Source organism: Homo sapiens, chromosome X (genome assembly GCF_000001405.40).
Source record: "Homo sapiens chromosome X, GRCh38.p14 Primary Assembly".
NCBI lineage: Eukaryota > Metazoa > Chordata > Mammalia > Primates > Hominidae > Homo > Homo sapiens.
This window is the reverse complement of record NC_000023.11, coordinates 112830004-112847559: the sequence shown is the minus strand read 5'-3', so window position 1 is coordinate 112847559 and position 17556 is coordinate 112830004. Positions and strand designations below refer to the sequence as shown.

At 42.5% G+C, this 17556-nt stretch overlaps 1 protein-coding gene and 1 long non-coding RNA gene across 7 annotated transcripts in view, besides 1 other annotated feature; one reads left to right on the top strand and one right to left on the bottom strand.

The window, feature by feature from the left end:
- Positions 1–480: 480 nt before the first annotated feature.
- On the bottom strand, positions 481–5834 carry LOC107985651 (uncharacterized). Its single transcript, XR_001755993.2, has 3 exons — positions 5692–5834; positions 3155–3301; positions 481–593 (listed from the first exon to the last, which is right to left on the bottom strand). It is a non-coding gene; the product is annotated as an uncharacterized LOC107985651 (long non-coding RNA).
- Positions 5884–6223: a silencer, noted in NCBI's record as "silent region_20945". NCBI's record gives its function as "represses an Ori minimal core promoter by ATAC-STARR-seq in GM12878 lymphoblastoid cells {active_cell/tissue: GM12878}" and the evidence as "EXISTENCE:reporter gene assay evidence [ECO:0000049][PMID:35858748]".
- Positions 6729–17556, top strand: part of AMOT (angiomotin) — a 65955-nt gene continuing 55127 nt past the window's right edge. For 2 of the 6 annotated variants that reach the window (NM_133265.5, NM_001113490.2), the window contains exons 1-2: positions 6729–7108; positions 15190–15266. The gene's annotated coding sequence lies outside the window, so the exon portion shown is untranslated. Of the gene's footprint in view, positions 7353–7609; positions 13936–15189; positions 15267–17556 lie in introns of those variants that run through there. The other 4 variants (NM_001386998.1, XM_047441856.1, NM_001386999.1 and 1 more) reach the window with 4 other exon arrangements.

Here is a 17556-nt window from a genome sequence, read left to right as displayed (position 1 = left end):
CTCTATAAGCCACCAAGCAAACCCACTGTCCTACACCCTTGAATGCCCTAAGAAGAATGAATGGAGGGGCATGAAGAAATAAACTGTGTTAAGGGACTACTATATGCCAGACATCATGATAGGACCTCTAAATGTGTTATTTCATTTAATTATCAAAGAAACCCTTATGGTGGAAAAATTATTATCCCTATTTTACAGATGAGGGAATGGCAGTTCAGGCTGGTTAAGGAATCTGCCTCATTGGTAAGTAGTGGAGCTGTGACTTGAATCTAGGCTTGGGTGACTCCAAAAGTCTATACCCCTTCCACAGAGCACACCAAGGATGGCTTACTATTTAACCCTTCCCAGGTTAATATTTGCACTTTAACAAGGGTCTTTCCTGTGTGAATTTCACAGGACAGTGGCAGACCTGAAGAGAAGGCTGATTTGGGCCTGCAAGGTGGGCCTGCCTTAAATCACACTGGAATGGCATTGACCTACCTTCTCCCTGGAGTTCCTAAAGTGGGGCAGCGAGCCAGAGAAGATAAATCTCTACTGCAGTCACAGCCTTCTTCTCCTCCAACTGGGATAACAACTCTCAGACACTCTGGCAACTACAGAAACAGAGAGAGCTCTGAATCAATCAAGAGTTTATTTGCAAAGGGTAATGTCAGAGGATGAACTTCCTCTAAATCCTGCTAACTCTGTACATTTAACGTGTTTACTGGCTCAGGAATTTGATTTTCCTCTGACTTGCTTTCAGAGGTTTGTTTTTTACCATTGACTAAATTATATTTTCCCTCTCAGCCCACCACCTTTCAGGGTACAGACTGATGTACGTTCCTCAGCCTCCCTGCTTCCCTCTTGCTCCGGCTAACCTAGGAATTTGCAAATAAACCCTACTGAGAAGTATGGACAGTCTGGGCCTTTCCAGAAACTCAAGCTGCTGAAGGAGATATGGTATTTAGTTAAGCTGAAGTGAAGCCCTGCATAAATCATAAAGAGGCGAGCCCAGGTTACTCAAACAAGACCTTAGGAGGTGTTTGGGGAATAGACTTGTAGGCAGCTTTATTTTTCTACAGCCGATTTACTTCCAAAATGCTGGGGCCCACAAATACCCCAGGAGCAACTTGGCTCCCAAATGCTGGAGCAGGTCTTGGCCTTGGAGCACAGTTCTGGTGTTGTTTCCTGAATTCCCACATTGCTGTTTTCCACACATGGATCGGGCTTCAAACTTCCTGTGTCTGGACTGTGTGTGCATGCTGTGTGTGTGTGTGTGTGTGTGGTTGGGAAGGGTGGAAGGGGGGAGGGAGGGAATCCAGAAGGAAGAGCATTTAACTGAAGTCGTGTATTGCATATGTGTCCCTTTGTTCCTTTCCTGTTCAGATAAACCTGCTATTTTCTGATCAGCTGGCTTCTGCATGTACAGGGCTAGTGTGTCCTTATGAATAAATAGGAGGCTGACTTTTGGAGGTGTCCTGGAGAAGGCTGTTTCTCAACGTTTGTCTTTGGAGGAATTAAGGGGGACAGTTATGTATAGAGACATAAATCTTTAAGATTTATTTTTTCTCGTATACGTGCTTGCCTCTGCTTTTGTTCATAAATGCATTTAAATCATTTAGTTGTTCACTAGGCAACTAGAGGAAGATGTGCACATTCCATATTCCTGGTTCACTTGGTAAGTGGGGGAGAATGCCATTCAATGCAAAGCACTATGGTTTTATCATCTTTCCTTCAAGAAGAATCTGGCCAGGGATTGGGAATAGACCATAAGCTATACACTCCTTCCTACTTTTCCTGTACGTTGGACAAAAATATTGCACACAAAGGGAAGATTTTTTAATTAAGACATTTATTAGTTGGCAACATGAAACACTGGAGATTTTATATTAAAAACATTTGACTTCTGGTTTCTCTTGAAAAATCAGAAGCTGTGGTCACATTGGCCTGCATTTCCCTGTAGTGGTGATCAGGCTGCCCCTTTCACATGGGTTCTGCCTTCTTGCAACCCCTATCACTGGCATTGTCTCCTGACACTAAGCCTAAGGGTTATTAGCTTTTGTGTGTGTGCATGTGTGTTTGTGTGTGTGTGTGTGTGTGTGGTAAGAGATACGTAACAAAATTTACCATTTTAACAATTTTTAAGTGTACAATTCAGTGGCTTTAAGTACATTCAAAATATTATACAACTATCACCATTATCTAGTTCCAAACCTTTTCATCATCCCAAACAGAAATTGTACTATTAAACACTAACTTCCCACTCCCTCTTCCTCCAGCCCCTGATCACCACTACTCTACTTTCTATCTCTATGAATTTATCCATTCTAGATCCCTCATGTAAGTGGAATCATACAATATTTGTCCTTTTGTATCTGGCTTATTTCATTTTGTGTAATGTTTTCAAGGTAGACATTTGATTTTTTTAATGGATTTTATTTTGTACAGCACAGATATTGATTTTTATTGTGCAATAAAGGTGTATTTTAAGAAAAAAAAATAAAGGCCAAATAGGACAGGTAGTTTGGGATGTGGAATCTTGACTTCTGAGCTTAAAATGATCCTCCTTTTTTCCATATCGTTATATGGAGGTTTTTAATGTGTAGTATCTAGGCAACCCAGTGTCTTTACACAGGTGTTTTACAGCTAGTGGTTAATTCTCCTGGTCTCCCCCAGAGGGCTTTCTATACTTTATAGTCAGGATATGAAGACACAGGGATGCTGTGGGGATTAGTTAAATGTGTGTGGCACAGTGTGCTGTATAAACTAACTCTCTGGAACTAGTTTTCACTCTCTGCTCTTAACTTCCACAGCTTTTACTGTCAATACCATTCATTTGGCACTTAGCACATGCTTGTTAGTTGTCTTTTTATGTTTATATCCTTGAAGGCAGGAGCTAAGTCTCATGCCTCTTTGTTTTTTCAGTCTTGTCTATAATAGCGGCTCAATCGATGTTTGTTGATGTTGGCCTCCCCCTCCCCCTCTCTTTTAAGTAGTGCAGGCAATGCACAGCTTTAAATCCAAACTCGGTTTAAACAAACTGAAAGGTTTTCAGGGTGAAAACAAAGAAGTCTTGCATGGCAGGATAGAAGGCTTGGAAGACCTGGGTTAAACAGAAGTACCAAAAAGCTGTTTGCCACAGGTTAAGAAATGACTCACACACAGCCTGACTCACCATTAAGTTCAGAGTTCTGCTAACTCTACTCCATCAAAATTTGGAGAAGAGTAATGCCCAAGCAGGGTTTGAGGAGCGGATGTTAAACGAATTAAGTGTTTTAGAGGTTTCCATTGCTCCAATTCCATTGCTCCACAGTATAAGTCGCTGTGGGGAAAGGAAAGCATGTTAGAAAAGTGTTTTGAAGGCAACTTCAAGGCTAGGGGCAGGCATACTACAAATGAGCCACCAGGCCTTTGTTACCAGGATTTTTTTAAATAGCATCTTCCGTAGTAGCAAAAGATGGGAAATAGCCCAAATTTGCTTCCATTTTTTTTAGAGATAGAGTCTTGCTATGTTGACCAGGCTGACCTTGAACTCCTGGCCTCAAGGGATTCTCCTCCCTCAACCTCCCTAGTAGTTGGAACTATAGGCGTGTGCCACCACCGTGTCTGTCTCCCAAATCCCCATTTAATAAGGGGATGAGTAAAGGAATTTTGGCACAGCTATGCAATAGAATATTGAGTTATAATAAAATAAATAAGGTAAACATAGTTATCCTGAGATGGAAGAATATTTCAAATACATTGTTGAGTAAACAAATGCAAGGTGTGCCTTGATTAATGATCCCACTTGTAAGGAACAAAAAGGGAATATGCACTCATGCTTGAATATGCAAATAATCTATTTGGAAGATGACATACAGTCATAAAGAGAATGGGACTATGGGAGCAGAGTGGTGGAGAAGAACTTTTCACTGTAGTCTTTCAGTACCTTTTTGTTTGGTGTTTTTTGGTTTTTTTTTGACGGAGTCTCGCTCTGTCACCCAGGCTGGAGCGCAGTGGCCGATCTCAGCTCACTGCAACCTCCGCCTCCCAGGTTCAAGTAATTATCCTGTCTCAGCCTCCCGAGTAGCTGGAGCTCAGTGGCTGATCTCAGCTCACTGCAACCTCCGCCTCCCAGGTTCAAGTAATTATCCTGTCTCAGCCTCCCGAGTACCTGCTACTACAGGCGCATGCCACCACGTGCAGCTAATTTTTGTATTTTTAGTAGAGAAGGGGTTTCACCATATTGATCAGGCTGGTCTTGAACACCTGATCTCAAGTGATCCACCCGCCTCAGCCTCCCAAAGTGCTGGGATTACAGGTGTGAGCCACCGTGCCCAGCCCAGTACCGTTTTATCTGAATTCTTCCATGTGCATGTTTAACTTTTTTCACTTGGACAGCATTGATTTTAACAAATATCCTTTTGCCTCTGTGATTGGTAGTAGTCCTGCAGCATATACCCGCCCCCCCACATCTAGCTCTCCTGTCCACTCCAAATAACAAGGCTGAAATAACCTTTCCTTGCTTCACAAACCAGGTGTCTCCATATTTTGAACATTCAAAAACTCACTTTCTCCATGAAAAATCACCCAAATAACCTCACTTCATACATAAACAGAATCATAACGAGAATCATTTTGTGCACACTCCTGCTTCTGAATCTTTCCACAGCTCCTAGCAGAGCATGCTGCACACTCCATGACATGCAATAGTCCACTACTTTTCCTGCAGAGTTGGATTCTGAGCCCCTGTTTACTGTGTGATAGTGTTTCCTTTAAGCACACTTCCTCTTGCATGCCTTGATCCATGGCCCCCCAGATGGCTCCCATTAGGCAGGCTTGAATTGGATGTCACTCTTTCATTGGCATGAGCCATTATAATGGCCTTGCGCTGTCAAGGCGTTTACATTTAGGCTTGCTTCCTACTTGAAATGTTTTCTAGGAAATATGGATCTGTAGAGAATGGTGGTTTCCATGGTAAATGTTCCTTCATATTTGTTTTCTTAAGTTCACTTCGGAGATACACAGCATGATTTCCTCTTTCAGTACCAGAACCACAATAGCTTTAAGTTGTCATGAAATTGTAGAACTTTAAAAAAGAAATCTCACCCACCCTGCTTAGAAAAGGGGTAATTTATTATTCTAACTGCAGGGAGTCAACTTCATATCCACCCCCAAAATTGTAGGAAAAGAGTTGACTTTTTAAAATAAAGCCACAAAACCTACACGACCTTGGATGTAAATGCTTAAAACAGATGAGCAAAATATTGATCCTCTAACACATCTAAGACTCTCCATTATGTTTCACACACAAGTAGGAACACATACATGTGTGGAGTGCTTTATAGTTTTCACACACATTTTATTTTCATACCAGTGCCTTTAAGTTAATAGGGCATGTCTTACAGCATTTACTTACAGGTAGAAAAATTAAGGCTGAGAAGTTAAGCCACTTAACAGAAGTCATACAATTAGCTAGTAAGTGCCAGGGCCCCAAATGAATTCTTCCTTTGGTTCCAAATTCCATGTTATTTTGCTACCCTGACACTGTTTCTTTGTGCCTTCGTTTTTCTAGATGTAAAATGGTAGATTTTCCGTGTCCCAGGATGCTGTTCTCAACCCTCTCGTTTTTAACCAATGTCAGCTTTTTTCACAGTCAGCAGAACACCACAATGACACTTCATGTACTTTCCCCCCTCCTGATTTAATAAACTAAGGGGGAAGAAAAGTTACCTATTCGCAGAAAGCTGGACAGTGCCATAAACATAAAGGCGTACCAGAGTCGGCCGACACACTGTTGCACTCTTTTATGAGACTGAGAAATAAAGCGTCTCATCTTTCTCTTGCCAGCAGTAGCTGGGGTAGAACATAGAACTACACAATAGCCTCTTGTTTAGTTTTATTAATTTTGAGGGCGGGTGGGACAAAGGGATCAGACTGGCGACTCCAGGGCCCAATCGCAAGCGTATACTAGGCCAGGCTGGGCCAACCGGTAGCTGCAAAAGAATGGTGGGCGGGACTTACGCTTCAGGGACGCGCTCCGCCCAGGCCGGCGCTCCCAGCCCGCCCAGGGGCGGAGCCTCCGCGGAGCGCCGCCCGCGACCCCTCCTCCCTCGCCCCTCAGCTTCTGCGGCCCGCCAACGGGAGGGGGGCAAGCGCCCGGGGCGGGGGAGCGGAGGAAGAAAGGAGGGTGTCTCGCAGAGCTGTGACCTGGGTGGGGGCCTGCTGGTAATAGGAAGCAAGAGGGGAAGGAAAACGAAGGAGCGCTTCTCCTTCCTGCATTATTTTAAGCAGGCTTTGGTGGAAGCTGCTTTTCAGCATTTCTATTATTTGTTTTTCTTCCTCCCGCAGTGGGGCGGGGAGCTGCACTGGCTCTCCCACGCGTCTATGCCGCGCTGTTGCCGCAGATTATTATTGTAGTCTTTTGCAAAACCCTTTCCTTCTTCCCAGCCAGTCCCCGCGCAGACTCTCACGGCTACGGCAACCGAGTCGTGCCCCTCTAGTGGGAAGGCGAGAGCGAGGGTCCCTTGCTTTCGCCCGAGCTCCCGGACCCCGCGGTTCAATTGTTTGAAACTTCCACGCCCCCCGGCCCCGCCTCTCTTCCGCGCTCCCCTCACTCCTCACTTCCAGGGTCCAGGCAGGCTCCCGCCCTTCTTTCCCCGCCCTCTACTCCGCCTTCCTCCCTCGTCCACCCCTCCCGCCGCCCTGCTCCGGGGCGGTCCTAGCCGCTCACCGCAAGAAGAAAAGCCACCCGTTCGTCCCCCTCCCCTACCTCCCATCCTTTGCCCAGGAGCTGCCTTGGCAGTCACGCCCCTTCCTTCCGAGGAGCTTTCTGGCTGCCTAAACTGGTAGACCCCCTGAATTACTCCTCCATCTCCGCTCTCTTTCGCCTCCTCTTCTCTTAGTTCTCTCCGCCTCCCCCTCAACTACCACCACCTCCAGTCAGTCTCGCCTCCGGCTATCCGCTGCTCCACCCTCTGGCCCGGTATCCTGCCTGTCCGCTGCCACCAAGGAGAGCCCGGACGGAGCAGCGAGGAGGGGAGCAGCCGGGAGTTGGGGCTTCCCCCCTGCCCATCCCTGGCCGCTGGCCCGGGACCGAAGCCACTTGAGCGAGCAGAGAGTCGTCACCTTGTCTTCTTTGCCTTCAGGGGTAGGAGACGCGTGGTTACTTTTCGCGGGGAACTGGGGCAGGAATCCATGGTGGCATGAACTTGGTCGTGCCCTCGGCGTGAGTGAATCGATCTAGGCGCGTGTGGGAATGCCCGTGTGTTCTACTTTCTTTGCAGCTCGCCATGAGTTTTTTTGGATGTGCAGCAAGTTAAATCGGTTAGAGTGTGCGCTGCTTTCCCGTCCTACTTCGGTGAGGAGATGCTAGTGGGTACCACTACTAGATGGTACTTTTACTTCTTTACCTCCTGGGGTTCTTGTGGGTCTCTAGGTAATTAATCACATTGAGGAGCTAAAGACCCGAGGGAAGCTGAAATCTACATTTAGCCCAGCATGCATGTCAGTGCTTATCTCAGATAACTAGATAGGTTTCTGCTAAGTGCTTAGGCTTGGGGTGGGGACTCACACTCCCTGAGGCGGGAGCAGGAGGGGTAGGACCGTGAATTCTTGAAGTTTTAAAGTCTGTGTAATCTAAAACAAGGCTACTCTTTGAGATGTGTGGTGGTGGTGGTAGTGCTTGTGGTGGTAGTGATAGTGGTGGTGAGGAGGGAGTTGCCCCTATCTGCTTTAGAAGATCCAAAGATGTTAGTAAATAGTTTTGGGGGATCTTGAGGGTGTCTTGAGGGTCCAAGCCTGGGCCACTGCACATTGGTGCTTCAACAGTAAGATGGGCTTCATGGGTTTGTGAAAATGAAGAGAAAGAAAAGGGGGAGGGAAAATAACAGTCTTTAATAGACTGTGAGCAGTTCCTGGTAGATTGCCACTAATAATAATATAATAATTTGCATAAAGGGACTAAGTAGAATTAAATGAGCAAGGAAAGAGAAAGTTGGTGAGAAACAGCATTTTCAATCTCTAGTGTATGTTTTAGAACGAACTTTTCAACAACCTGGGATGTTTAGTGCATGAAGTTCTCCTCCCTCCCCGCCATGAAGAGTGGACGTTGGGAGGCAGTTTAAAACTTTTATGAATATAACCCTCTTCTCCCATTCAGAGAAGAAGATAATTAGTCACCATAATCTTCAATGATGAAGGGCTAAGGATATTTAAGTCTCCTTGAGCTAGGCTTTGTGAAAAGTTCTTTCTCAGGCCAGCCTTTGTGAAGCCTTCTCAGTTAGACCTTTCAGCACCCTCATTTAGTAGCTAAGAATAGTTTGAAATGCCATTTTGGATGTGGTATACATTTTCATCCATCTCCCACCTATCTTCAATTGGACAAGTGCGTCAAGCCTGTAAGTGATGGTGTTCAAAGACTTATTACTGAGATGTCCTTAACCCATTGCTTATTTGGGAACACATTATTAACATACATTTTAAAATAACTTTGGTTGATTTTAATGAGTGAAAGGAAAGTAGGAAGGTAGAGAAGGGCGACAATTTTAAAGGCTATCCTGTTTCAGATCAGCTGGGAGGGAAAAGCTGGCCTGACCAAACTACATTTTATAACTGGCCTGGGACATTTTAACAGCCAGGTGGTTGTAGAGTAGTTGCCTCTATTTACAGATGATAACTAAGGTTCCAACTATTCTGTATGGGTTTATCCGGCGTCATTGACAGACACTTTCTGGCACTACATCATACTTCATTTTAAATTACTTCTTTCCTTGGAAAAGTTCGTGGCTTTGTAAAATTGTAAGTGCTTTTTCTACCTTCACAGTCTAGATGTGAAGTAAACCTCTGACCACAATTGTATGTGGAGTCACTTTTACATGAAATTTGTGGATCTGTTTACCTATTTAAAAGATTTTAGAAAGGGAATTTTAATAATTCATAGTCAATGCAGTTTTGGATTTGGAAATTAAAATTTCATTTCTGGTTTATGAAGTTTGATTTATTAGACTAATTCCCAACAAGGACATTTGTAGAGTTGCTTTTTCTTTCTGAGGTTTTGTAAAGACTGCATCAGACTCTAGAATGCTTTAAGAATAGCCTAATCAGAAGGCAGGGGGATGGATACTATGACCTTGAGGTCCCATTGAGTGCCAGAATTCTAAGTGGGTACATCTGCTTCTGTGCCTCTCCCAAGAGCCCTCTCCCAGGGCCTGCGCCTTCTTTAAAAGGGTGTCTTTGTAATTAAGCGGCCCTTCTTCCCCATCCCCCTTTCTTCCTTTGATCCAGCTTTTTAAGGCCTTTTTTTCCATTTGGAGACAAGAGGGGTTTCTCACACTTTCCTGTTCCCCTCTTAACGCTTCTTTTCCTTTACCCCAGAAAAGTCCCCTGAAGTTCTCAGGATGGTTAGAAGTTGTTTTGTTTTGTTTGGGGCGTGGGGGTGGAGTGGGGGAGTTGTTACCAATGAGGAGGAATAGAGGATATATTCCCTCTTGGGAAATGCTTGTGACCAGGTAGCCTCCTCCATGGAGACTGAGCATTTGGAATGCATGAGAACAGTCTATTCTTGGGGACTGTCTGGTAGAAATTGTCCTTTGCACCCATTAAGCCCAGCTTAAACACTGAAAGGGGTGGGGAGAGGTGTGTGTGGTCGTACTGGAGCCTTTTAGGATGGTAAATGGGTAAATGTTTCCAAATCTCCTATTACATCATCTCTTTCTCCCATGGATTCAGTAGGTTTAGTGATCTGCTTGACAAGTTAATTAGCTGGGGACTAAACCAATTTGTTTAGAATTGTGATCCATTGATTTCCTGTCCCCAGGAATTTTTGTTGGTGTTTTACTATGATGTGTTGTCTTTAGTCTTACTTACTTTTCCCTCCTTGCTGCCTTTTGTGGACTTTGGTCCAAATTCTAGGGTTCCACCCCCAAGTCAAAGGTTAGAATTTTGTCCCAGGAACTAAGGGGGTATTAAACAGGCTGGCCATACTGCATTACTCTCCTCCATGGTGGGCTTCTGACCCCTTTTAACCCAGAGAAAGGAGGGAAGTCGCCCCTTCCACACACAACACACACAATCTGAACAAAAAAAAAGAAAAAGAAAAAGAAAGAAAGAAAATAGGAGGTCATTTGCTTTATAAAAGAATCCACAACAGGTTTTCTTTGTAAGTACTAGCTTTCCTAGTTAGTGCCTTTAAACTATGACTTGATATATAAAAATTCACTCTAACTGGGCCTTCTCGGAAGCATATTTATTGCATAAAGGAATACATAAGAATTTGTAATGATTATCGCTTAAATTAAGTGAGGCCATTATTTGGCCTTTGAAATCTTTTTGTTATATGGAATGGAGTTAGTTAATTGTCTAAATCATTCTGGCTTGTAATAATGCTGGCCACGTTAGCTCTGGCCTACAACTGCTTGCAGAAGAAAGCTAGTATTACTTTTTGAAAATAAATCAGACTTTATAGATTTTGAACAATTCTAAGGATGAGACTATCCACCCCATATAGGTAAAATGTTTTATTTCCAGCTACTGTATTTGACTAACCCAGGGATCCAGAAAGTTATTTCTAGTAAATAATGGCGACTGATGCCACTTTAACCTAAGAATCTGCAATAAGATTTCCTAGTGAGCCTATTGGTGAGAAGGACCTGGGCTCTAGGCCCAACTGTAACTCGGTTTACTACCTCTGTTAAGTTTTTTTTTTTCCACTGTAAATTATGGGTTTGGACAGGGTAATTTTGAGAGCCAGTTCTTATACGTTTATGGTTTTCTTTCTAGGCCTCAATATCTAGTATGAATGTGAATGATTGCTACTAGAATGAAGTGCAACAGTTGTTAGAAATTCAATCATCTAGTCATCATGTTAAAGAAAAAAAGATCCTGTAAGGATATATGAATATAGATGCATTATGTTTTACATTTTAACAACCCAAAATTAAGAAGCTAAGACTCTGTCCAAAACTTCAAGAATTCCATCATCCTAAGAGATCACCTGCTTTCATTTTTTCTAGTTCCTTTCAAGTCCTGGTTCCTGTACTAACATGAGTTTTAGATAATTGGAGCCACAGATATATACAATGTTGCTTTTCAATAAGAGCCCACCCAAGACTTAACTTTGTGAACCCATGTGGAGGAACTAAGTCAGAATCTGACCGAGGACACATGAAGACTCCCATATATTTTGTTTCTCAAATGCCAGGAGAGGCTAATGGATATAATAAGTAATCCCTAAACACTCTCTGTGATTCAGGAGTTGTTCATGTATCTAGCAAGGCTGTTAATTTAATTCCTTTGACCTCCTGTTATCCCTCCCCCATTCTTGTTAACAACAACAACAACAAAACTAGGGTCCACTGTTTACTTTGTGTAAATCATTGGCAATGATTTTTAAGTCACTGTATGGTGAAATCCCATCAAGTGAGTATAAATTTGAGTGGAATATGAAATCTCCAGAATGAGAAAGGAGAAGCAGGAAAGCACAAATATACTTGTTTTGTAGCATGGAAAATAATATGTTTAAATTAGACTAAAAGATAGCAAAGAAACTAAGGATTTTAGACAGTTAAATAAAAGACAAGAAGTGCAGCAGCAGAATGGCCCACACATAATGGGTTCTTCATCTGAGGTCTTCACCATGTAGTCAAATTTCATAGTTCTTTAATTTTCCTTTGATAACAAAGGTGTGGTATACATGTGATCTCTAAGATTTGATGGATTAGCCAGGCATGGTAGCTCACACCTGTAATCCCAGCGATTTGGGAGGCAGAGGCGGGCGGATCACCTAAGGTCAGGAGTTCAAGACCAGCCTGACCAACATGGTGAAACCCCTGTCTCTACTAAAAATACAGAATTACCTGGGTATGGTGGCGCATGCCTGTAATCCCAGCTACTCAGGAAACTGAGGAATAAATTGCTTGAACCTGGGAGGCGGAGGTTGCAGTAAGCCAAGATCACGCCATTGCACTCCAGCCTGGGCAACAAGAGCAAAACTCCGTCTCAAAAAAAAAAAAAAAAGATTTGATGGATTCATTCCTGGAAACCAGTGGCTCATCATAAATTAGATTAAATTTCTCTAACTGGAATAGAAAGTGTGGTATGGGTTTTTAGTATTTAGAAAGTAGCAAATGAGGAACAGGAACTTTTTTTTTTTTGTAATATATGATCCTGGAGAAAATGCAAATGGGTGTATTTGCCAATGTTTCCTAAGGCAATTCTTGAAAATCTACTCTTTTAAGTCTGTGGGCTTGCCTTGACATTTGTAAAGGCACTTTCACTCTTGCCCTAACTCCATGAAATATCATTAGCCTGTGTGACTTGAAGCCAGGATCTGGTTTTCTCTGCCCAGCCCCTCTCTGTCTTACCATGTGACCAAGGGTAAATGAATTAGCTGCTCTAAGCTTCAGTTACCCTTCTGGGAAGCAAGGATATTAATAATCACAGAGGTGTTTCGGCATGCTTCATATTGGGCACATGCTTTGAGGTCATTGGATGAAAGGTGTTTGCATGATGGCAGAGCAGGCTTATTATAGGGTCTTGAGCAGGTGTTCCTTTTTAATGAGCTTTGCTCTCTTATAACATACAGTGCCCTTTGGTGCCCCATTGCCTTACTGACTGTAATTACCATTAACCCAACATTTGTATTATTGGCCCTCTCGGCTTTTTGGAAAAAAAATTAAACAGTTTTGTACTGTGTGGTAAGTTGAGGTACAAATAAGAGGACTCTAGCATCTTACAGGGTGGTGAAAAATAGCTTCAAAAAGAAACGTTAGTTGAAAAGGGCTATAGAGATCAGTGAGTTATTCAAAGCTCCTCCAAAAGATGAAAAAGAATAAAGCAAACTTCTGTGTGTGTGCGCATGCACGTTTTAAGGGAGAAAGTTTTCAGTAATATTTGCTTGTGACACATACTGATGATAGCCAGTAACTGAAACCCAGCCATTGTAGTGTTTTATACACAGCTGGATTTTATTAATGATGGAATATTTATGCTTGCTGTACAATTCGTGGCTCATTTCCATGTGTATGTCAGAACTTAAATACCCCCAAAAGAAACATTAAGATAACATGAAATATAAATGTGGCCAAGCTAGAAAGGGTGGATTTGGTGGAGAGTCTCCCTTCTTCTTATTGGTGTCACATCAGATCACAATAACTGTGCCGCCCCCCTATCAACCTTAGGCATTGATACTGATCTTTTTTTCCCCTTATATATACCCCATAGCAAACTTCACATTTCAATCTTTTTGATATGGACAAACGATCTGCTCTCCTCTTTATAATGCAGATAAAACTGATGTATGTGTTTTTTAAGAGCATATTTTCCCTGCACATGCTTCTCATTATCCGAGAGGCCTGGACTCAATCAGTAAAGGAGCAGAGAAACCACATAATTGAAAGGAGAATGACGGTGGTGCATACTTGGAATATTTGTGGGAAGGGGATTGCTGACATCAGAAAATGTAGTGGCCTGAGTGTTAACAGCATTGAAGAGAAATCAGCTTTCTGTGTTTCTGTGTATTGAAAATTATTTTTAAGGGAATAAAAATATGGGCCAGGTTTGACATCCTTTTATGAAGTTGCCCTGGAAACTTTGATGAAGATTGTTAAAGAATAGCTCAATTAAAACCTTCCCCATTAGGAAGCTAATTAGTACATCCCTTACTCATTTTGGTTGTTTTCAAGGGGCATGTATTTGCATTGAATTAGTGACATTTGTTCCATGTGATAGCAAACTAAGATAAAAATCACAGATGGGGAAAATTATTTAGATTGCCTGTTTTGAAGAAACCTAATTCCTCTTTATTACATTTAGATTTTCAGTTCAGAGTTTTGTTTTACTATGTTTATATACAATGATCACATTTTAGTGTGGTAGCCAGTTTTGCTTTCTGGATCATGGGCTATAAACCAAAGCTTATTTGAATTTCCCGTATGAATTAGGGAAATAGAACAAATGACAACAAACCATTTTATTAAGGTAAGATTTCATTTTTTTCTTCTACAATTAGTTTCTCTTTGGTCTATGTGTGTGTGCCTGAGAGAGAGAGTAGGGGAGGCAGATTGTTTTTTTAAAAAGCAAACAGTTTTTGAAGCTAAGAAAATTTTGATGACCCCCCCCCCCCCTTTACTCCCAGGAACATTCTGTCTGCCTCAGGCTGGGACCAGTTGGGCTTTGGTTAGGGGAACATGATGAATTTTCTGACCTGGTGCTTTCTGTGACCAGGCTAAGTGGTTCTCCCTTGGAAGCCTGAAGGAAAGAGGTTATGGTGAGAACAGGAGTGCAAGATTTCTAGCAGGTTCTTTTTACTGTACTCCACCTTTTTTTAGGGGGGTGAGTACTTGCTTCTGAGATTTTAGGGCCATTTGCAGTAGAGTCAATGCTTTATAGCCAAATGTAAAATATGGGCCAGTTGTGGCCCTCCTTTCCCCGCATCACTTTAGGTGACGGTCATTCTGTACCTAGGTTCCCATATGCTGTGCCCACGGTGTAGGTGTATGCCTGCAGTAGTTTGTGCAAATAAGAAAGTTAGCTGGGTTATATGATTTGTGGTTTAATCTCACCTTAGTCCTTCTTGGGAAGGCAGGGTTTAGATTCAGTTCTGCAGTGGCACCTCAGGCAAGGCAGGTTCCCTGTGCTTGCAAGGCAACAGCAGGAGGAGGAGGGGCTGCCTTCTGCCTTCAGAGAGTGACTCAGGCCCTTTGGTATGAAGATATGAAATGCTGGCTCCTGTCCATACACCTGCTGGATGCCACACCTGCAGTCAGCACCTGAGCCCCACTCAGACACAAAAACCAGACTGAAGGCAGATGGGGCTCCCTTGAAAAGGGGCACAGCGAAACAGGGAGCTCTCAATTATGTTAGTAGAGCCCCACTGGGAACTGGGTTTAGTCATCCCAGTGTTGGCGTGGGGAAACAGATTACTTTCTTTTAGATGCAGCTCACTCACTTGCTCAAGATACTGTTAGAGTGTTTCAGGAGTTTGCTTTCCTAATGAATTTCTCTTGTGAACTGTCCTCTTAAAAACTGGAGGGGCAATTCTGTGGAGGGTTATGTCTTAGAACCAAGCACAGGGCAGGAAGTCGCAAGACCTGGGTTCCAATGCTGGCCCTACCAATGGGCAACAGTGAAATTCTGGTCCAATTAGTTATGATTAGCTATCTGTTCTGGACTTGAGCTTCCCTCTCCAGTTCTAAAATGGAATTAATCACATCTGCCTTTATTTCCCCACAGAGCTGCTAAGAAGGACAAATAAGATAGCAGAGTGAAAGAGCTTTTGTCTCCTTAGAAGGAAGGCTGAGAAACTAAAGGTAATAATAACATTATTATTATTGTTATTCCATGTCTTTCTTTGTTTTCTTCTCCTGCTGTGGCCTCTAGCAAAGTTTTGGGGAAGTTATCATTCACTCAGTATGCAACTATTAAGCACATTTTATGTACCAGTTAATGTTTTAGGTATTGGGATGCATACAATGAAAAATCACGCACCCCGCCCATGCCCTCTAAGATCTTACAGTCTAGCAACTTCCCTTTCCATTTCTGGCTCAACCCGTAATAGTGATTGCTACCAGGGCACTCAGAAGCTTAAAAGGTGAGAGTTAACTTCTTTTTTTCTCTCCACACTACAGCTGGGGATTTCTGTCCCTGGAGCTGTGTATTGCAAGGTCTAGCTTGGAGATATATGGGAGGAAAGGCCATCGGGATAAATAAAGGAATTTCTTTCCCTCCCACATTTGCAAAGTACCTAACCCTTGAATGATCTTTTTTTTTTTTTCCCCAGAAGTCCATGTTTAGTTTCATCCTGGGTTCTGTTCTGTTCCTAGTCAATATGGTCCAGCCCTCTCTTATGACCTTAGCTGTCATCCATATGCTAATGACTCCCAAAGATATATCTCAACCTATCTTTGATGTCAAATTGGTCATCACACTCCATGTCTTCTACTCAGCTTATAGGTTTTTGATATTTTCCTCCTCTTGGGAGCTTTTTCAGGTAGCCCAGGGTTTTTTGCAGAGCCCTATGTGTTGCCGGAGCTATTAGCTCATACCTCTGTTTTCCCGTTGAATTGGGCCTCCTCTGCCTGACTGGGAGCTCCTCAAGTACTGGGCTCTCTTTTTATTTATTTATTTATTTATTTATTTATTTATTTATTTATTTATTGCCACCCTAGGCCTTACCTAGCACAATGTCTGGCTACAGTAAGTGCTCAGTAAAAGTTTATGGAAAATTTGCTGTGATAAGTGTCATCATAGAGAATTCATTTTCCATGTTGAGCAGAGTTGAGGTCAGGAATAGATGGAGAGGGATTAGGGAAAAATCTTCAAAGAGAAGATGGACAGCAGAACTGCCTTATTTTGAGAGTTCTGGCTAAGAAGTCACGGAAGGAATGCCTGTTGTGTCCACTGTTGTTAAACCAGGGGCATCTCTGACCTATTGCCTCCCCTGCTTTAGGACCGGATGATTTTTATGGTCAGGTCTGCAAATCAACCTCTGTCTATAATACATTGACCATTTAAGACAGGTGTCACTTAGTCATCTAGTATTAAACAGGGCTGACCTTAAATGTGCCACCTTAACTGAGGCTGAAAATAGAGCTACACACACAGGCTCATTGATCATGCCTGCTTAGTTCTATACAGCAAAATGTCCCTTAAGATATATTGAAGATTGGGATCTAAAAACTGACAAATTCAATTCTCAGAATGTAAGCAGGTTGGGTCACAAGAACTGAATGTCTTCAAGCTGACTGTCAGATCTTTCCAAGGGCAAAAATGAAAGATGATATAAGCTATTACAGGCCATGAACCTGTTTTCACCCACCTGATGCTTTTACTAATTAGCTTCTTGGCTGGGTGGCAATTTGGGGCAAGTGCATGCAAGCTGGATTCACAGGGGAGCCCGCATTCCACTCTGCCATTTCGCAAGCCACTGGGATACTACACTGCTTCTCTTGGCTTCTTTCCCTCCCAGGAGCCCTGCTCTGCCCTGGTGGAAAAATGAGAGCGGGAGAATTTTTCATTAAATGAGGGAGGGATTTCATGGGACTCTGGTGTTTTGCTAATTTTATTTTTTAGTGGGTTGTCTAAAAACATTTATGCTTCTTGACCCATCAGTTTCACTTCTGGGATTCTATCATGAAGAAACAATCTACAATATTGAAAAAGGTTAAATCACAAAGATGTTTTTGTAACATTATTTAGATTAGCATAAAATTGGAAGCAATTTACATGTCTTAATAATTGAAGAATGGGTAAGTGAATGCTGATACACTTGTTTAATGCACTATTATGCAGCCATTACGATGTTATGAAGTTATGCCACAACATGGAAAAAGTATTTATGGTGAGGTGAAATGCAGGATCCAAAATTACATCTTATTAATAATTCATTGCTTGTAAAAACCCAAATACACATAGGAAAACTAAAGGAAATATAATGTTAACAGTGCTTAAGTTGAGGTGCTTGGATTATAAGTGATTTTTTTCTTTATTAAAAATAAATGCATGCTGTGCTTATATTACTTGTAAAATAAAATATAAGTAGATATGAAAATGGGTGGTCTGGCATTGGCGGTTAAAGATTGGTCAAGCAGGCAGCTTCTA